The 22,166-nt window shown below is 39.4% G+C and overlaps 1 protein-coding gene across 3 annotated transcripts in view, besides 1 other annotated feature; it reads left to right on the top strand.

The window, feature by feature from the left end:
• Positions 1–22,079, top strand: part of ADGRG7 (adhesion G protein-coupled receptor G7) — an 85,879-nt gene extending 63,800 nt beyond the window's left edge. For all 3 annotated transcript variants that reach the window (NM_032787.3, XM_047449088.1, NM_001308362.1), the window contains one exon: positions 21,344–22,079. In NM_032787.3, the coding sequence (NP_116176.2) occupies positions 21,344–21,601 (258 nt within the window). In that variant the 3' untranslated portion in view covers positions 21,602–22,079. The remainder of the gene's footprint in view (positions 1–21,343) is intronic.
• Positions 9,038–9,297: an enhancer, noted in NCBI's record as "active region_20163". NCBI's record gives its function as "activates an Ori minimal core promoter by ATAC-STARR-seq in GM12878 lymphoblastoid cells {active_cell/tissue: GM12878}" and the evidence as "EXISTENCE:reporter gene assay evidence [ECO:0000049][PMID:35858748]".
• Positions 22,080–22,166: the final 87 nt, after the last annotated feature.

The raw sequence follows: 22,166 nt of genomic DNA on the forward strand, positions 1-22,166 counted from the left end.
TCAGTGGTGATATCCCCTTTATCATTTTTTTACCATGTCTGTTTGATTCTTCTCTCTTTTCTTCTTCTTTTTTTTTTTTTTGACAGAGTCTCGGTCTGTCATGCAGGCTGGAGTACAATGGTGTGATCTCAGCTCACTGCAACCTCTGCCTCCTGGGTTCAGGAGATTCTCCTGCCTCAGCCTCCCAAATAGCTGGGATTACAGGCGTGAACCACCATGCCTGGCTAATTTTTGTATTTTTAGTAGAGATGGGGTTTCACCATGTTCAGGCTGGTCCCAAACTCCTGACCTCATGGTCCACCCGCCTTGGCCTCCCAAAGTGTTGGGATTACAGGCGTGAGCCACCGTGCCTGGCCTCTTTTCTTCTTTATTATTCTGAGTAGTGGTCTATTTTGTTGATCTTTTCAAAAAACCAGCTCCTGGATTCATTGATTTTTAAAAGGGTTTTTCGTGTCTCTATCTCCTTCAGTTCTGGTCTGATCTTAGTTATTTCTTGTCTTCTGCTAGCTTTTGAATTTGTTTGCTCTTGCTTCTCTTAATTTTAATTTATAGTTTTTGTTCTTTTAATTTTGATGTTACAGTGTCAATCTTAGATCTTTCCTGCTTTCTCTTGTGGGCATTTAGTGCTATAAATTTCCCCTAAACACTGCTTTAAATGTGTCCCAAAGATTTGGGTACATTGTGTCTTTGTTCTCATTGGTTTCAAAGGACATCTTTATTTCTGCCTGTTTTTATGTCTGCCTGTTTTGTTTCTGTTTTTATGCCAGTACTATGCTGTTTTCATTACTATAGCTCTGTAGTGTAATTTGAAGTCAAGTAATGTGATTCCTCCAGTTTTGTTCTTTTTGCTAATGATAGCTTTGGCTATTCTAGGTCTTTTGTGGTTCCATATAAATTTTAGGAACATTTTTTTCTTTTTCTGTGAAGAATGCCATTGGTGTTTTGATAGAGATTGCATAGAATCTGTAGATTGCTTTGAGTAGTGTGGACAGTTTTAAAATATTGATTTTCCAATCCATGAACATGGAATCTCTTTCCATTTTTTGTGTCCTCTTCAATTGGTTGCATGCAGGTTTTATAGTTTTCGTTGTAGAGATCTTTCACTTTTTTGGTTAAGCTAATTCTAAGGTATTGCATTTTATTTGTAGCTTTTGTAAATAGGATTGCTTTCTTAATTCCTTTTTTTTTTTTTTTTGAGACAGAGTCTCGCTCTGTCACCCAGGCTGGAGTGCAGTGGTGTAACATCTGCTCACTGCAACCTCCACCTCCCAGGTTCAAGCAATTCTCCTGCCTCAGCCTCCTGAGTAGCTGGGACTACAGGCATGTGCCACCACCCCTAGCTAATTTTTTGTATTTTTAGTAGAGACGGGGTTTCACCATGTTAACCAGGATGGTATCGATCTCCTGACCTCGTGATCCACCCACCTTGGCCTCCCAAAGTGCTGGGATTATAGGCGTGAGCCACTGTGCCCAGCCCTTAATTTCTTTTTCAGGTTGTTTGATGTTGGCATATAGAAATGCTACTAACTTATGTATGTTAATTTTGTATCCTGCAACTTTACTGAATTTATCCATTCTAATCTTTTTTTTTTCTTGTGGAGTCTAGTTTTCTCCAAATGTAAGATCATATCATCTGCAAACGAGGATAATTTGATTTCTTCCTTTCCAATTTAGATTTTTTAAATTGCTTTCTCTTATCTAATTGCTCTGGCTAGGACTTCCAGTGCTATGTTGAATAACAGTGGTGAAAGTGGGCATCCTTTTTGTGTTCCAGATCTTAGAGGAAAGGCTTTCAGTTTTTTTCCCATTCAGCATGATACTAGCTGTGAGTCCGTCATATACAGCTTTTATTGTGTTGAAGTATGTTCCTTCTATCCCCAGTTTTTAAGAGTTTTTACCACGAAGTGATGTTGAATTTTATAAAATTTTTTTTAGCATCAATTGAAACAATCATGTGGGTTTTGTCCTTCATTGTGTTGATATGGTGTATCACATTGATTGATTTGCATATGTAGGACCATCCTTGCATTTCTGGGATAAATTCTACTTTGTCATGATGAATGACCTTTTTAGTGTGTTGCTGAATTTGGTTTTTTAGAATTTTGTTGAGGATTTTTGCATCAACGTTCATCAGATGCATTGGCCTGTAGTTTCTTTCTTTCTTTCTTTCTTTTTGATGTGCCTTTTTCTGGTTTTGGCACCAGGGTAATACTGGCCTCATGGAGTGAGTTTAGAAGTATTCCCTTTGCCTCTATTTTTTGGAGTAGTTTGAGTAGGATTGGTGTTAGTTCTTCTTTAAATGTTTGGTAAAATTCAGCAGTGAAACCACAGTTCCTGGGCTTTTCTTTGCTAGGAAACTTTTTATTACAGCTTCTGTCTCATTACTTGTTACTGGTCTGTTCAGGTTTTGTATTTCTTCATGATTCAATCTTGGTAGGTTGTTTGTGTGTAGAAATTTGTCCATTTCTTTTAGGTTTTCTAATTTATTGGCATATAGTTGCTCATAGTAGCCACTAATGATCCTTTGAATTTCTGTGGTATCAGTTGTTATGTCTCCTTTTTCATCTCTGATCTTATTTATTTGGGTCTTCTCTCTTTTTTTCTTAGTTAATCTGACTAAATGTTTGTCAATTTTTTTGATCTTTAAAAATAACCTTTTGTTTCATTGATCTTTTGTTTTCTTCATTTCAATTTCACTTATTTCTGCTCTGATCTTTACTATTTATTTTCTTTACTAATTTTGGTTTTGATTTGCTCTTGCTTTTCCAGTTCCTTAAGATGCATCATTAGGTTGTTTATTTGAAGCTTTTCTATTTTTTTTGATGTGGGCACTTATTGCTATAAACTTTCCTCTTAGTACTACTTTCACTGTATCCCATAAGTTTTGGTATGTTGTGTTTCCATTTTTACTTGTTTCAAGACATTTTTCAACTTCCCTTTTAATTTCTTTCTTGACTCACCGGTAATTGAGGAGCATATTGTTTAATTTCTATGTGTTTGTATAGTTTCCAAAATACCTCTTGTTATTGATTTCTAGTTTTATTGCGTTGTGGTCAGAGAAGATACTTGATATAATTTCATTTTTTTGGATTTTTAAAGATTTGTTTTATGTTTTAACATATGGTCTATATTTGAGAATGATCCACATGCTGAGGAGAAGAATGTGTATTCTGCAGCCATTGGATGAAATGTTCTATAATTATCTATTAGGCCCATTTAGTATATAGTGCAGAGTAATTCTGATATTTCTTTGTTGATTTTCTGTCTGGAAGATCTATCCAATGCTGAAAATAGGGTGTTGAAATCTCTAGCTATTGTCGTATTAGGGTATATATCTCTCATTAGCTCTAATAATATTTTATTTATATATGTGGGTGCTCCAGTATTGGGCATATATATATATTTACAATTGTTATATCCTCTTGCTGAATTGACCTTTTTATCATTGTATAGTGACCTTTTTCCTTTCTTTTTATAGTTTTTGTCTTGAAATCTATTTTTTCTAAGTAGAGCTACTTCTGCTCTTTTTCGGTTTCTGTGGAGTATCTTTCTCCATCCATTTATTTTCAGTCTGTGTGTCTTTATAGGTGGTTTGCTTCTTGTAGGCAACATATCATTGGGTCTTGTTTTTTCCTTCATTCAGCCACTCTATGTCTTTTGATTGCAGAGTTTAGTTCATTTGTGTTATTATTGTGTTATTATTGATACGTAATGACTTACTTCTGCCATTTTGTTACTTGTTTTCTGGTCTCCTCTTCTTTTCTGTCTTCCTTTTAGTGAAGATGATTTTCTCTGGTGACATGTTTTAACTCTTTGCTTTTTATTTTTTGTGTATCTATTGTATGTTTTTTGATTTGAGGTTACCACAAGGCTTGCAAATAATATTTTATAAACCATTATTTTAAGCTGATGACAACACTGATTGCATAAACTAACAAACAAAGAGAAAACTAATAAAAACTCTATAACTTTTTGTTTTTTCTATTTATATCTTATTATACTGTCTTGAAAAGTTGTTATAGTTATTTTGATAGGTTCATCTTTTCATCTTTCTGCTCAAGATGTAAGTAGTTTATACACCAGTATAATGTTAGAGTATTCTATTTTACTTACTAATACCAGTGAGTTTCGTACTTTAACATAATTTCTTATTGCTTATTTTCTTTCAGATCGAAGAACTCCTTTTAGCATTTCTTGTAGGTCAGGGCTGGTGTTGATGAAATCCCTCAGTTTTTGTTTGTCTGGGAAAATCTCTATTTCTCCTTCATGTTTGAAGGATATTTTCACCAGATATGCTATTTTAGGCTAGAAGTTTTTCCCTTCATCACTTTAAATATGTCATGTCACTCTTTTTTGGGCTATAAGGTTTCTACTGAGAAAGCTGCTGCCAGACAAATTGAAGCTCTGTTGTATATTATTTGTTTATTTTCTCTTGCTGCTTTTAGGATCCTTTCTTTATCCTTGACCTTTGGGAATTTTATTATTATATCTTGAAGTTGTATTATTGGGGTCTAATCTGCTTGGTGTTCTATAATCTTCTTGTACTTGAGCATTGATATCTTTCTCTAGGTTTGGGAAGTTCTCTGTTATTATTTCTTTGAATAAACTTTCTACACTGACCTCTCTCTACCTCATCTTTCAGGCTAATAGCTCTTAGATTTTTCCCTTAGGGGCTATTTTCTAGATCTTGTGGGCATGCATCATTAATTTTTATTCTTTTTTCTTCTGTCTCCTCTGACTGTGTATTTTCAAATAGCCTGTCTTCAAGCTCACTCATTCTTTCTTCTGCTTGATTAATTCTGTTAAGAGACTCTGATTCATTCTTAAGTATATGTCAGTTGCATTTTTCAGCTCCAGAATTTCTGCTTAATTCTTTTTAATTATTTCAATCTGTTTGTTAAATTTATTTGATAGGATTCTGAATTTTATCTCTGTGTTATCTTGAATTTTTGTTGTGCTTCCTCAAAATAGCTATTTTGAATTCTCTGTCTGAAAGGTGACATATCTCTGTCTCTCTGGGATTGGTCACTGGTGCCTTATTTATTTATTTATTTATTTTGGCGAGGCCATATTTTTCTGGATGTTCTTGATGCTTGGGTATGTTCATTAGTGTCTGGGCATTGAAGAGTTGGGTATTTACTGTAATCTTTACTGTCTAGGCTTGTTTGTACCTGTTCTTCAGAAGGCTTTCTAGATATCTGAAGGGACTTGAGTGTTATAATCTAAGTCTTTGGTCACTGCAGCCATATCTGCTTTAGGGGGCACCCCAAGTCCAGTAACCTTGTGGCTCTTTTAGACATACAGAGGAACTGTCTTGGCATCTTAGGTAAGATCTGGGAGAATTGCATGGATTATGAGGCAGAGACTGTTCTCTTCCATTATTTTCCTGCAAGCAAACAGAGTGCCTCTCTCTCTCTGTCTCTCTCTCTGTGCTGAGCTAGCCGAGGGAGGGGGTGACACAAGTACCCTTGTGGCCACCACCACTGGGACTGCGCTGGGTCAGAACTACAGCCAGAACAGCACTGGTTCTCTCCCAAGGCCTGTGGTGACCACTGTGTGGCTACCACCTATGCTACTCAAGGCTCAACAGCTCTACAATTAGCAGGTGGCAAATCTAGCCAGGCTTGTTTCCTTCCTTTCAGGGCAATGAGATCCCCCTGTCCCCAGGTCGGTCCAGAGGTGCCATCTGGGACCCAGGGCCTGTAGTTAGGAGCCTCAGGAAACTACTTGGTGCTCTATTCTACTGTGGCTGAGCTGGCACTCAAACCACAAGACAAAGTCCTTCCCACTCTCCCCATCCCCCAACCTTTCCTCAAGCACAGGAGTCTCTTTCCATGGCTACCACCACTTCAGGCCTGTGACAAACATTGCCTGGCTACCACTGATGTTCACTCAAAGCCCAAAGGCTCTTCAGTCAGTCTGTGGTTAATGCTGCCAGTCAAGGCAGTGTACTCTCCTCAGGCCCAAGGCAGGTCCAGTAATCCTGTCCAGGAGCCGAGGCCTGGAATCAGAGACCCCAAGAGCCTGCTTGGTGTTCTACCCCATTGAGGCCAAGCTAGTACCCAAGCTGATTTTGGTTCTTATCTTGTGTGAGTAGCTGTTAAATTTGTGTTCCCATGGGGGAATGATTGCTGGAGGGTTCTATTTGGTCATCTTGCTCCACCTCTCTCCTCCTTACAGACTATTTTTAATACCATTTCTGGGAAGTGAAAGAAAAGCTCTTTATGACTTACCTACTATGTACTTTCCTGAGCTGGATATCATAGAATATAGTAGCAATAGAGTTGGACCACTTTAGTCCCTCTTCTTTGAGTAGGAGAGATTTTTGTCAAGTAGCTGGATTGGGACACATCTTCTTTCCTTTTCTCCTATGTAAGGGGTTCATGGCAACTCCTCACCATGATTGATACAGACAGTGTTATAGTTATTGCTGAAGCTTAGACTTCTGTGGGATTGGCTGAAGGTTTTCTTTCAATTCTTTTAAATTTATTGAGTCTGGTTTTATGGCCCAACATTTGGTCTATTTTGGTGAATAAAACATTTACTCTGGAAGAAAATGTGTATTCTGTAGTTGTTAAAGTATTCTAAAAAAGGTTGTGTCAAAGTGATTGTTAAAGGTACACCTATCCTTACCAATATTTTTGCCTGATTCTCTCAATTGTCAAAAAAGGGGTATTAAATTCTCCACCTATGATTGAAAATTTGTATATTTCCTTAATTCTGTCAACTTTTGCATCACATATTTTGGGGTTCTACTATTAGATGCATATACATTTATTATTGTTATATCTTCTGGATGAACTGATTTTATCATTTAGATAAAAAGGTTTCTTTACCTCCAATAATACTTTTTGTCATAAAGTCTACTTTATCTGATATCCAGCTTTATGCACATTGATTGCATGATATATATGTTTTCATCCATTTGATCTCAATCTATTTGTGCCTTTATATTTTAAGTGTGTATCATGTAGACAGCAAATACAAGTCTTACGTTTTTATCCATTCTGGCAATCTCTTTTAATTGAGTGTTTAGTCCATTTAGATCTAATGTATTTTTTTATATGGGTTAATTTGTGTCTACCATTTTCCTATTTGTTTTCTGTGGCCATTCTATTTTTTATTCCTGTTTCTCCTTTTTTGCCTACTTTTGGATACATTTAATGTTATTAGGGTTCTAATTTTAATTTATACTTCAATTATTAAGCAATACTTCTTTGCGTTTTGGGGGTCAATTTAGGGATACATTAAATTTCATTAACTTTTCGTTGTCAACTTGGAGCTAATATTTTACTACTTTCCAGTAAAATCTTAGAATCTTATAACAATATAAGTCCTCTTGCCATCCTCCGTTCTCTCATAGTATACGTTTATGTATTACATCTGCATACATTACAAAACCTGCTATGCAATGTTCTTATTTTTGCTTTAGATATGTATTTTAAGGAAATTAAGAGAGAAGAATTTTTATATTCAGTCATATATCTATGATTTCTAGTATTCTTCATCCCTTTCTGAAAATCTGAACTTCATGAAGTGTTTTGTGGCACAATTTTACATTGGACTGAAGATGCTTTTATTCCTTGAGTCTTATCTCAAGGACATACTTAACCATAAACCTTTAAAAAATTAAATTCACACTTTGTTTTCAAAATCTGAAAAGAAGTTATATATTTTTCCTTTGGAAATAATTCTACAAAGGTAAAAATTTGGATTCTGGTCACCTCCTGATTTTATCATTATAAAAGTACTAATGAAGATAAACCAAAATGGTGGATAAAAATAAATTTGTTTGACTTTGGAGAGGTTTTTTTTTTAACCTTTTTAGTTATTTATTATGTGTGAGGAATATCAAGACTTTTAAATAAAACAAAGATGTGTTATTGAAAGACATCTTTTCTTTTCTTTTTTTTTTTTTTCTTTTTTTTGAGACAGGGTCTCACTCTGTCACCCAGGCTGGAGTGAAGTGGCATGATCTCAGCTCACTGCAACCTCCGCTTCCCGGGTTCAAGCAATTCTCCTGCTTCAGTGTCCTGAGTACCTGGGATTACAGGCATGTGCCACCATGTCAGGCTAATTTTTGTATTTTCAGTAGAGACAGGGTTTCACCATGTTGGCCAGGCTGGTCTTGAACTCCTGACCTCAAGTGATCCACCCATCTCAGACTCCCAAAGTGCTGGGATTACAGTTGTGAGCCACCACACCAGACATTGAAAGACATCTTGAAACCAGAATTTCTCTTTACACTCCTCACTCTATGCCTCCTCCCATAGTGAACATTGCTCTTTACTCTGATGAAAGAGCAATGAAATTACTAAATGGACTTTACTCTCTGTAGTATGGAAACATGTCTTCTCTAAGCTGGCAGAATTCATTAAACTTCAGTAGAATGAAAATACTTCTCCCTTAAAGCACTCGCACCCTACCAGGATCACCTGTATGAACAAACATCACCACTGAACTACCTGCACAGGGCAAGGAAAGGAGCCCCTTTTTGAAAGCTCACTCCTGAAACTCCAGACCATGAACCCTAAAAGCAAGGGAATAATTCAAGGAATCCACATGATTGTTAGAACTTTTTGAGAATTTTCAGTTTTGGTATTTATTGAGATTACTTCCTAATGATGCCAGCGGCAGCCCATCTGAAGTGGCCGCTGCCATGGCTCCGGCTGCAGTGGGGTACAGGCGCAGGCTGTGGGTCCTCAGATGCAGATGCTGAGGCAGGCAGTCCCCAGAGCCTGCCCCAGGGAGCGCCCCCGGAGTCCACCGCCCTGGGAACCCACCCCCGGGAGCTGCCCTGATGGGGCCGGACCCAGCCGCTCACCGGAGGGAGAGCAGTGCAGTCGGGCAAGGAAGAGCAAGCAGAGAGGGTCCCCAGGAGGAACTGGGTCTGGGGCGGTGCCACACTTGCACATGGAACGTGGGAGCCAGGCCCGAGATGTAGAGCTGGGGTCACGCTTCAGGGGACCGGGGTGGGAAGTGGGAGCAGTGCCCGCTTCGAGGACCCAGCCAGCAACGTGGCCACCGCGCCCAACCCGCCGACGGCGCCAAGTTCCTGCGCCTGGGGAACAGTCTCTGCTCCGAGTCACCTGAGGCTGCGTCCTCAGGATCTGCTCCACATCAAGGTGACCGCCGAGCCTGACGTTTCCAATGGCCAGGCCCAGGGCCCACGATCTGCTCCCGGAAGTGACCTCCAGTCAGGGCCATGAGCCAGGCAAGGGGGAGCCCCAGGCTGCCCCTGAGTGCTGGGGCCACAAGAAGAACTTGCAGTGACGTCACCCCTGCTCCGGAGGCTGGCCCGGGCCCAGCGAGGACCTGAAGCTCCCACTCCAGGCTGTGAGGAGGCACGGCCAGGGCTACACACTCCACTGAGCCAGCGGGAACCGGGGGCAAGCGGGAGCCCCACCTCTTCTCAGTTGGCCGGGTGGGAGCTCCCTGGGTGCAGTTGCAGTTGCCTTGTCGCAGCTGCTGACCGAGGCATCTTTGCACTCTCAGGGGTCCAGGAAGACCCCCCTGCCTGGGTGCCATGAATAGAGGCAGGAGGCAGACAGGCTTTTGGGTGGAAGGGGGAGGGTCCGTGGTGAAGCCCCACCTTAAAGCCAGGGAGGGCCTGATGAGCAGCTCTAGTGAAGAGCTACTGTCTCTCCTGAGAGCTGAGTGCTCATCGGAACACCCTGGCTAAGGAGAGGAGCTACCCACTGCGGCTGCAGGTGTCCTCTGAGCTGTTCTATCACTCAGTAAAGCTCCTTTTCGTCCTGCTCACCCTCCACTTGTCTGCATACCTCATTCTGGATGCAGGACAAGAACTAGGGACCCACCAGAACGGCGGGGCTAAAAGAGCTGTAACGCAAACAGGGCAGGGCTGAAACATGCCCTTTGTTCTCCACATTGTGGGCAACAAGGAGAGGAGAGAGTAGAGAAGAGCTGTGGCTCTTCGGGGAGCCCAGACCTAGGAACTCCCTGAGCCAGGGTTGTGACACTCTCTTTAGGGGTCTGAGGTTCCTGGTGTCACCAAGCTTCTGGGTGTCACCCGGTTCCCTGGTGTTAGCCATGGAAGCTGCTTATGGTAGGCCTGGTCCATCTGCAGCCTCTCAGGGAGCTGGCGCTTGTGCCAGTGCCTGGAGCTGCCTGCCCCACCGCAGCTGGCATGCCTGGCTGTGCCCTGTGGCCGGACCCCATGCTTGCTTACACACCCCTCACCGCTCCACACCTGGCTCGTCCTTGGCAGGTGTGGGATCCAGGTCGGTAGCTAAGCCAAGCACAGCCTGCCAGACCGAGTAGGAGGAATGAGCCCAGTGGGCTAGAGCTAAATGTTGGCAAAGGTGCCACTGGCCACATAGATTTCTGTCTGATGAAACAACACCCCAAGGATCCCATAACACTAACAATACTTTTTGAAGGTGCTTGTTATCTTTAGTTCTCAAATTATTTTTTTATAAAACCTCATTCACCTTTAACTTGTTCATCAAAGACTGAAAGAGGTGTGTAAAACTTCCTTTTATTCTATTTTTCTATTAATTTTTCTTCTGACTGTTATAGCAATTTGTCTTTATACAATTCAATGCTGCATTATCATGTTCCTGGAAATTTATGGATATGGTATTTAATATATCTGTGGAGCATTATACCTCTCAGCAATATAACAAGTCTCTCAGTCCCACTTCATCTTGAAATCTGATTTTCTGTCTAGCAGTGTACCAACTTCTAGTTTGTTTTTATTTGATTTTATCTAATTTATTTATGCTAATTCTTTTATTTTTAAGTTTTCTCATCACTTTGGTTTTAACTTATCTCTTTTTAGACCCTGCATATTTAGATTTGTTTTTGATAATTTTCTCATAGTTTTTCCATTTTATCTATTTATTTATTTATTTATTTATTGAGACAGGGTCTTTCTCTGTCACCCAGGCTGGAATGCAGTGACACAATCACAGCTCACTGCAGCCTCAATCTCCTGGACTCAATTGATCCCCCCACCTCAACCTCCCAAGTAACTGGGACTACAGGCACGTGGCACCATGCCTGACTAATTTTTTTCCAATTATTTTATACAGATAGGGTCACACTATGTTGTCCAGGCTGTTCTTGAACTCCTGGGCTCAAGTGGTCATCCTGCGTCAGCTTCCCAAAGTGTTGGGATTATAGGCCTGAGCCACTGTGCCTGGCCAGTTTTGCCATTTTATTAAAAATGTTAAACTTTTGGCTATTTAGTTAAATAGTAGCTATTAAAACTAATGTTTGTTTTATTGTGTTATCTTAGTTTTTTTTCCCTATACGTCTATCACTGCCTCCTTAATTTTATATATTGTGTTATATAAATTATGTTTTTTAGTATAACTTCCTCTATTTGGAATATTTTCATTCTATTTTAAATTCTACTAATTATAATCTTTATTAAATATTACTACAACTTATAAGATACAAATTTCAATTTCCAGAGTAAAACAATAGATATTGATTCCTCTCTTTTTAAGGTAATAATATTAACACAGTTTAACTGCTTCTTGCAGTTTTGTTGGTACAATTTAAAATTTATCATGTTGTGGTTAAGTTATACTGTCTACATTATTTTCTTTTAAGAAATATTTATAATACTAGATTATGTTTGATAATTATATTAACTGTATTTTCTTATGCTTAACTCTATATTTAAATGTTTTTAATGTTTTGCCAGTCGTTTTATATTGGAATGTCCTGTTATTTTGACTTCCTTACTTTAAGGAAACTCTCATCAATGGTAGTAATTTTTGAGTAAATATTTAGTGGATAGTTGGTAAACATTAATGAGGACTTTTCTAGCTGACAATTTTTCTTTAGATACTATGACACATAAACTACAAATTAGTTTGGCATTTAATTCTTGGCAATGACCTTTATTCATTGACATTCTATAGACGAACGGAAATTTTATGTTGTGAAAATAAAGCCTGAGAAGGAACTAAAATTCTTGTATTTTTCCCCATTCTTTTTTTTTAAATTTTATTATTATTATACTTTAAGTTTTAGGGTACATGTGCACAACGTGCAGGTTTGTTACATATGTATACATGTGCCATGTTGGTGTGCTGCACCCATTAAGTCGTCATTTAGCATTAGGTATATCTCCTAATGCTATCCCTTCCCCTCCCCGCACCCCACAACAGTCCCTGGTGTGTGATGTTCCCCTTTCTGTGTCCATGTGTTCTCATTGTTCAATTCCCACCTATGAGTGAGAACATGCAGTGTTTGGTTTTTTGTCCTTGCGATAGTTTGCTGAGAATGATGGTTTCCAGCTTCATCCATGTCCCTACAAAGGACATGAACTCATCATTTTTTACGGCTGCATAGTATTCCATGGTGTATATGTGCCACATTTTCTTCATCCAGTCTATCATTGTTGGACATTTGGGTTGGTTCCAAGTCTTTGCTATTGTGAATAGTGCCACAATAAACATACGTGTGCATGTGTTCTTATAGCAGCATGATTTATAATCCTTTGGGTATACACCCAGTAATGGGATGGCTGGGTCAAATGGTATTTCTAGTTCTAGATCCCTGAGGAATCGCCACACTGACTTCCACAATGGTTGAACTAGTTTACAGTCCCACCAACAGTGTAAAAGTGTTCCTATTTCTCCACATCCTCTCCAGCACCTGTTGTTTCCTGACTTTTTAATGATCGCCATTGTAACTGGTGTGAGATGGTATCTCATTGTGGTTTTGATTTGCATTTCTCTGATGGCCAGTGATGATGAGCATTTTTTCATGTGTTTTTTGGCTGCATAAATGTCTTCTTTTGAGAAGTGTCTGTTCATATCCTTTGCCCACTTTTTGATGGGGTTGTTTGTTTTTTTCTTGTAAATTTGTTTGAGTTCATTATAGATTCTGGATATTAGCCCTTTGTCAGATGAGTAGGTTCCAAAAATTTTCTCCCATTCTGTAGGTTGCCTGTTCACTCTGATGGTAGTTTCTTTTGCTGTGCAGAAGCTCTTTAGTTTAATTAAATCCCATTTGTCAATTTTGGCCTTTGTTGCCATTGCTTTTGGTGTTTTAGACATGAAGTCCTTGCCCATGCCTATGTCCTGAACGATATTGCCTAGGTTTTCTTCTACGGTTTTTATGGTTTTAGGTCTAACATTTAAGTATTTAATCCATCTTGAATTAATTTTTGTATAAGGTATAAGGAAGGGATCCAGTTTCAGCTTTCTACATATGGCTAGCCAGTTTTCCCAGCACTATTTATTAAATAGGGAATCCTTTCCCCATTACTTGTTTTTCTTAGGTTTGTCAAAGATCAGATAGTTGTAGATATGTGGCATTATTTCTGAAGGCTCTGTTCTGTTCCAATGGTCTATATCTCTGTTTTGGTACCAGTACCATGCTGTTTTGATTACTGTAGCCTTGTAGTATAGTTTGAAGTCAGGTAGCATGATGCCTCCAGCTTTGTTCTTTTGGCTTAGGATTGACTTGGCGATGCGGGCTCTTTTTTGGTTCCATATGAACGAACTTTAAAGTAGTTTTTTCCAATTCTGTGAAGAAAGTCATTGGTAGCTTGATGGGGTTGGCATTGAATCTATAAATTACCTTGGGCAGTATGGCCATTTTCATGATATTGATTCTTCCTACCCATGAGCATGGAATGTTCTTCCATTTGTTTGTATCCTCTTTTATTTCATTGAGCAGTGGTTTGTAGTTCTTCTTGAAGAGGTCCTTCACATCCCTTGTACATTAGATTCCTAGGTATTTTATTCTCTTAGAAGCAATTGTGAATGGGAGTTCACTCATGATTTGACTCTCTGTCTGTTAATGGTGTATAAGAATGCTTGTGATTTTTGCACATTGATTTTGTATCCTGAGACTTTGTTGAAGTTGCTTACCAGCTTAAGGAGATTTTGGGCTGAGATGATGGGGTTTTCTAGATATACAATCATGTCATCTGCAAACAGGGACAATTTGACTTCCTCTTTTCCTAATTGAATACCCTTTATTTCCTTCTCCTGCCTGATTGCCCTGGCCAGAACTTCCAACACTATGTTGAATAGGAGTGGTGACAGAGGGCATCCCTGTCTTGTGCCAGTTTTCAAAGGGAATGCTTCCAGTTTTTGCCCATTCAGTATGATATTGGCTGTGCGTTTGTCATAGATAGCTCTTATTATTTTGAGATACATCCCATCAATACCTAATTTATTGAGAGTTTTTAGCACGAAGGGTTGTTGAATTTTGTCAAAGGCCTTTTCTGCATCTATTGAGATAATCATGTGGTTTTTGTCTCTGGTTCTGTTTATATGCTGGATTATGTTTATTGATTTTCGTATGTTGAACCAGCTTTGCATCCAACGGATGAAGCCCACTTGATCATGGTGGATAAGCTTTCTGATGTGCTGCTGGATTCGGTTTGCCAGTATTTTATTGAGGATTTTTGCATCGATGTTCATCAGGGATATTGGTCTAAAATTCTCTTTTTTTGTTGTGTCTCTGCCAGGCTTTGGTATCAGGATGATGCTGGTCTCATAAAATGAGTTAGGGAGGATTCCCTCTTTTTCTATTGATTGGAATAGTTTCAGAAGGAATGGTACCAGCTCCTCCTTGTACCTCTGGTAGAATTCGGCTGTGAATCCATCTGGTACTGGACTTTTTTTGGTTGGTAAGCTATTAATTATTGCCTCTATTTCAGAGCCTGTTATTGGTCTATTCAGGGATTCAACTTCTTCCTGGTTTAGTCTTGGGAGAGTGTATGTGTCGAGGAATTTATCCATTTCTTCTAGATTTTCTAGTTTATTTGCATAGAGGTGTTTATAGTATTCTCTGATGCTAGTTTGTATTTCTGTGGGATCAGTGGTGATGTCCCCTTTTCATTTTTTATTGTGTCTATTTGATTCTTCTCTCTTTTCTTCTTTATTAGTCTTGCTAGTGGTCTATCAATTTTGTTGATCTTTTCAAAAAACCAGCTCCTGGATTCATTGATTTTTTGAAGGGTTTTTTGTGTCTCTGTTTCCTTCAGTTCTGCTCTGATCTTAGTTATTTCTTGCCTTCTGCTGGCTTTTGAATGTGTTTGCTCTTGCTTCTCTAGTTCTTTTAGTTGTGATGTTAGGGTGTCCATTTTAGATCTTTCCTGCTTTCTCTTGTGGGCATTTAGTGCTCTAAATTTCCCTCTACACACTGCTTTGAATGTGTCCCAGAGATTCTGGTGTGTTGTGTCTTTGTTCTTATTGGCTTCAAAGAACATCTTTATTTCTGCCTTCATTTCATTATGTACCCAGTATTCATTCAGGAACGGGTTGTTCAGTTTCCATGTAGTTGAGCGGTTTTGAGTGAGTTTCTTAATCCTGAGTTCTAGTTTGATTGCACTGTGGTCTGACAGACAGTTTGTTATAATTTCTGTTCTTTTACATTTGCTGAGGAGAGCTTTACTTCCAACTATGTGGTCAATTTTGGAATAGGTGTGGTGTGGTGCTGAAAAGAATGTATATTCTGTTGATTTGGGGTGGAGAGTTCTGTAGATGTCTATTAGGTCCACTTGGTGCAGAGCCGCGTTCAATTCCTGGATAGCCTTGTTAACTTTCTGTCTTGTTGATCCATCTAATGTTGACAGTGGGGTGTTAAAATCTCCCGTTATTATTGTGTGGGAGTCTAAGTCTCTTTGTAGGTCTCTAAGAACTTGCTTTGTGAATCTGGGTGCTCCTGTATTGGGTGCATATATATTTAGTATAGTTAGCTCTTCTTGTTGAATTGATCCCTTTACCATTATGTAATGGCCTTCTTTGTCTGTTTTGATCTTTGTTGGTTTAAAGTCTGTTTTATCAGAGACTAGGATTGCAACCCCTGCCTTTTTTTGTTTTCCATTTGCTTGGTAGATCTTCCTCCATCCCTTTATTTTGAGCCTATGTGTGTCTCTGCACGTGAGATGTGTTTCCTGAATACAGCACACTGATGGGTCTTGACTCTTTATCCAATTTGCCAGTCTGTGTCTTTTAATTGGAGCATTTAGCCCATTTACATTTAAGGTTAATATTGTTACGTGTGAATTTGATCCTGTCATTATGTTAGCCAGTTATTTTGCTCGTTAGTTGATGCAGTTTCTTCCTAGCCTCGATGGTCTTTACAATTTGGCATGTTTTTGCAGTGGCTGGTACCGGTTATTCCTTTCCATATTTAGTGCTTCCTTCAGGAGCTCTTTTAGGACAGGCCTGGTAGTGACAAAATCTCTCAGCATTTGCTTGTCTGTAAAGGATTTTATTTCTTCTTCATTTATGAAGCTTAGTTTGGCTGGATATGAAATTCTGGGTTGAAAATTCTTTTCTTTAAGAATGTTGAATATTGGCCCCCACTCTCTTCTGGCTTGCAGAGTTTCTGCCGAGAGATGTGCTGTTAGTCTGATGGGCTTCCCTTTATGGGTAACCCAACCTTTGTCTCTGGCTGCCCTTAACATTTTTTCCTTCATTTCGACTTTGGTGAATTTGACCATTATGTGTCTTGGAGTTGCTCTTCTCGAGGAGTATCTTTGTGGCGTTCTCTGTATTTCCTGAATCTGAATGTTGGCCTGCCTTGCTAGATTGGGGAAGTTCTCCTGGATAATATACTGCAGAGTGTTTTCCAACTTGGTTCCTTTCTCCCCGTCACTTTCAGGTACACCAATCAGACATAGATTTGGTGTTTTCTATAGTCCCATATTTCTTGGAGGCTTTGTTCGTTTCTTTTTATTCTTTTTTCTCTAAACTTCCCGTCTCGCTTCATTTCATTCATTTCATCTTCCATCGCTGATACCCTTTCTTCCAGTTGATCGCATCAGCTACTGAGGCTTGTGCATTCATCACGTAGTTCTCGTGCCGTGGTTTTCAGCTCCATCACGTCCTTTAAGGACTTCTCTGTATTGGTTATTCTAGTTAGCCATTTGTCTAATTTTTTTTCAAGGTTTTTAACTTCTTTGCCATGGGTTCGAACTTCCTCCTTTAGCTTGGAGTAGTTTGATCTTCTGAAGCCTTCTTCTCTCAACTCGTCAAAGTCATTCTCCATCCAGCTTTGTTCCATTGAGGAGCTGCATTCCTTTGGAGGAGGAGAGGCGCTCTGATCTTTAGAGTTTCAGGTTTTTCTGCTCGGTTTTTTCCCCATCTTTGTGGTTTTATCTACCTTTGGTCTTTGGTGATGGTGACATACAGGTGGGTTTTTGGTGTGGATGTCCTTTCTGTTTGATAGTTTTCCTTCTAACAGTCAGGACCCTCAGCTGCAGGTCTGTTGGAGTTTGCTGGAGGTCCACTCCAGACCCTGTTTGCCTGGGTATCAGCAGTGGTGGCTGCAGAACAGTGGATATTGGTGAACCGCAAATGCTGCTGCCTGATCGTTCCTCTGGAAGTTTTGTCTCAGAGGAGTACCCGGCCATGTGAGGTGTCAGTCCGCCCCTACTTGGGGGTGCCTCCCAGTTAGGCTACTCGGGGGTCAGGGACCCACTTGAGGAGGCAGTCTGCCCGTTCTCAGATCTCAAGCTGTGTGCTGGGAGAACCACTACTCTCTTCAAAGCTGTCAGACAGGGACATTTAAGTCTGCAGAGGTTACTGCTGCCTTTTGTTTGTGCCCTGTCCCCAGAGGTGGAGCCTACAGAGGCAGGCAGGCCTCCTTGAGCTGTGGTGGGCTCCACCTAGTTCGAGCTTCCCGGTGCCTTTGTTTACCTACTCAAGCCTCAGCAATGGCGGGCGCCCCTCCCTCAGCCTTGCTGCCGCCTTGCAGTTTGATCTCAGACTGCTGTGCTAGCAATGAGCAAGCCTCCATGGGCGTAGGACCCTCCGACCCAGGTGCGAGATATAATCTCCTGGTGTGCCGTTTGTTAAGCCCATTGGAAAAGTGCGGTATTAGGGTGGGAGTGACCCGATTTTCCAGGTGCCGTCTGTCACCCCTTTCTTTGACTAGGAAAGGGAATTCCCTGACCCCTTGTGCTTCCCGGGTGAGGCAATGCCTCGCCCTGCTTCAGCTCACACATGGTGCTCTGTACCCACTGTCTTGCACCCACTGTCTGGCACTCCCCAGTGAGATGAACCCGGTACCTCAGTTGGAAATGCAGAAATCACCCATCTTCTGCATCACTCAGGCTGGGAGCTGTAGACTGGAGCTGTTCCTATTCGGCCATCTTGGCTCCACCCTTCCCCATTCTTATGTCATCCCTTTTTAAACATAAATTATTTTGAAACAATTTTAGATCCATAAGATGTTGCAAATAGTATGGAGAATTCCCATGTACACTTTACTCAACTGTTCCCATGATCATATCTTATGTTACTTTAATACATTATCAAAATGACATTGATACAATCTACATAGTTTATTTATTGATGGGCTTTATTCTTTTGTGGTGATGACTTTCATTCTAGCCTTATTAACTATCAACTAAGTGAATAAATATGACTCATTATCAAATAAAAATATTGTTTTGTAAATGTTTTTGTCCTCTCTTCTTTTTACCCTATAAAATTAACTTTTTATGCATACTCTTCTCATCTCCTCAACTAGAACATCAGTACTCTGAGTGCAAGGAACTTGCTTGTGCATATCTTTCACAGTAGATAACATCTTTGTTCAATATCAGGATGAGCTATTCTGTATTTCATGAAGAAACTGCAATTTTGATGACTATCCCATTAAGTTGCTAAGAACGGTAACTACAGTGTGAAGCTGGTGTCATGTTGGCTGTTTCTGGCTATGGTAAAATGTCATTGAGGAGGAAAGTCTTTGATACAAAATGGAAATTGTTAGGAAGGGCATTTGATCAGACTATATAATGCAGTGTGGGGAGCTGCTTGGCTTTTTGAATTGCTACCACCATATTTAATGCTTCTAAGAACCTCATCCTTTATCCCAGGTAGCCCTCTCCAGTGCCTTTTAGGATTAATTCCCTTAGATAATGGATGGGTGCCTGCCACTAAATTTACAGGGATATAACTCAGTTCTTTATGATTGTCAGTATCAAATGGAAACTCCTAGAAGATCAATAAGTAGGGTAAGCCTCATCTGACATTGCCAATTGATCCATGGGCTTGTTGCCCAGAGTGAGCAGGAATTTAGGGAGGAATCTGAATGAAGGCACAGTCAAGGATTTTCTCTTCTCCATGCATAGGAGGGGGAAATTATAAAAGAGAGGTTCGTAACAAAGTGTTAATGGTAAAATGGTAAAAACTGTTAATGGTAAAATGATAAAAATTACAACATGGTAAAATTGAGTATCGCAATGTGGCAAGGACATGGAGCTAAAAGTCAGGAAACTTAGGCTGTTATTCAGCTTTACCATTGATTCCTATGATTATAGGAAAATCACATAACCTCTGTGGGTGAGGTATGCAAAATATAAAATGGAGTAGTGGGGCAATATGTGTGTTAAAATCAACACAGTGTTTTGTAAAATGGATCTGAATATTGCTTACATCAGAACTTACATAGTATGTTAAAATGCTGATTCCTGGGCCTCACCCCTTACCTACTCAACCAGAATCTACAGGCATAGGAGCTGAGACTCTTCATTTTAAACAAGGACCTCAGGTGATTTCTATGTACACTAAAGTGTAGGAATATCTAGATTTGTTTACACGTGAAACTTCTAGATTTAGAATACTATAATTCTAATAAACATTTACTAAATGCTACAGATATTACTTAGAAGGCACAATTTGAACTTTGTGTTACTGGTAGTCAGTCTGACCCACACATTTTTTCTTTTCAAATAACATTTTTGGGCTTTTAGGAAGCACAGAAATATTGGGAGTCCACCCAAACAGGTCCAACAGGATGGTGTTTTTATGAATTATCCATGGTCTAGGGTCTTTTCCTAATTATTGTACCAACAGAAATTTGATCAAATCTTAGTTTACTTTAGAATTTAAATTCTGGAAAAATCAGATGAAATAGTGTATGCCACAAAAAAGATGGTTTTCTAGAGACTGGATTTCTCATGTGCCCCAAATAAATTTCTCTCCCTTGAACAATCAGGATGGCCAATGACCACTCCTGTCCTTCTGAAACCTGTGTCTCCAAGCACACACTGTCATAGGGCCTTTCTTCTGATGTGTTAGATACCACCTGTTGAGTAATAATCAAGCTACTTTTTCTACTTTTGGCCAGAGAACAAGTCTGTCTCTTGCCAACACTTATTGATTTTTTAGTCAAACTATAAGGGTCTTTCCAGAGTACCAGAAGTCTCCAATAACAGTACTCACAGGATATGATTCCAAAAATAAACTCTTAAAAAGGTTGGGGCCCTATAGATGCTAATGTGGGAGACATCCAAGGATATTTATTTTTAAAAATACCTTTTCATTTTGAAATGATTTAATAAAAAATTTTGGAAAAATAGTATAGCTCCCACATATTCTTTGTCCAGCTTTCCCAAATGATAATATCTTATACAGCCATAGTATACTGTCAAAATCAAGAAACTGACATTGGCACAATATTATCAACTTAACTACAGATGCTATTTCATCTGTCATTTCCACAAAGGATATTAATAAAGAATTAACAGCAGCATCTTAAAAGCTATGATACACTTTGCAGTCACTTTCTGTTACAGTTACAGGCAACAGTATAGGCAGCACCGTATATTGGATAGAGGAGGGGTTTTGGAGCTAAAGATGTAAGAATTCAATTCCAGACTCCACTGAGTACTGGTTGGGTGATCGTGGACAAACTACTTAGTTTATCTGAACTTTAGTTTCCTTATCTGAAACATGCGGATGATAAAGCTTGTTGTATTGGGTTGATGTGAGGATTACATGAGAATGATCAAATGATGAGGATTAAGTGAAAAGCAAGGGTCTGATACTGATATGACTTCTATAAATGGCAGTTTTTACTGGAAACATATAGAAAATATTATTCAGTGTTTTGTGGCTCAATTTCTCATGTACATCTGGTCTTCATCTGTGAAGTACAGAAAAGCAGTGACTAGAAGGGCTTTACATTTTTTTGTCCTTAAGTGCACAAATTTCTAGCTATGTTACTATAACTCCAAGAAATATGGAAGCACAGAATGTTAGAACTGGGAGAAGAATTAGGTATTTCATAGTTAATCTTCTTCCTTCAGGAAGTTGAAGATTATCAAGATTATGAAATAAGCAAATTTACACAGCCAGCTAGTGGCAACCCAGGACCTGAACTCGGGTCTTCTATATCTGCTATTGTACTGTTACATGTAGGTCTTTGTATATGGGAAAACTTTGCCTCAACCCTCTTAGATTAAAAAGTGCATGGCAGCTGCACACTGGCAAATTCAAGTTGGGGAAGTGCCGTGCAGATGAGAAGGTTGGGTGGCAGAGTGAAATAAAATGTCTTCCTTGATACTGTATCTCAGCACTTACCCAACATTAAACTTTTGTTCTATCTGCAGGGATTGCAAATTTTTATCCTGTACACTGTTAGAACAAAAGTCTTCCAGAGTGAAGCTTCCAAAGTGTTGATGTTGCTATCGTCTATTGGGAGAAGGAAGTCATTGCCTTCAGTGACGCGGCCGAGGCTGCGTGTAAAGATGTATAATTTCCTCAGGTCATTGCCAACCTTACATGAACGCTTTAGGCTACTGGAAACCTCTCCGAGTACTGAGGAAATCACACTCTCTGAAAGTGACAATGCAAAGGAAAGCATCTAGACAGTAAAACTTACCTGTTGTGGTCTTTTTAATCACCTCGTTTGAGTTTTATCTGTTTCTCTCCTTTATTTCCCAGTCCTCTCAGAAAGTCTTCCTCAATGTATTTTGCTCAGGATTAAGAATTAGATAAAACCTGTTGTTTATTATTATTCGGCATAATGGACTTGGTAGTTTTTCTATTTTTCAATAGATTTGTACTTGAATAAGGTGAAGAATTTCACACAACATACAAGAGTACCATTGTTCCTTATATCGTTAAATCTTTGTGACACACTTTGACAAAAATGTAGAACCTATAACAAATTCTTTTACAAGTTACTATAAAGGACACAAAGAGAAAACTTTACCTTCCAGAACAAAATGACTCCTGATGAACAGTGTGTGGGGATTTGCTTGTATGTATTAAACTTTTGACCTCTGAATATTTTACAGTCGTATGTGCTTGTACTTTTATTTCCAATGAAGAATTTGGCACCAATTCAAACTTTGAAAAGCGATATTTTTTTCTGTTTAAAAAAAAGTGTGTTTTGTGACCAGGAGAATTGGCTCTGTAAGAAATGGGCAG

Source organism: Homo sapiens, chromosome 3 (assembly GCF_000001405.40).
Source record: "Homo sapiens chromosome 3, GRCh38.p14 Primary Assembly".
NCBI classification, from domain to species: domain Eukaryota; kingdom Metazoa; phylum Chordata; class Mammalia; order Primates; family Hominidae; genus Homo; species Homo sapiens.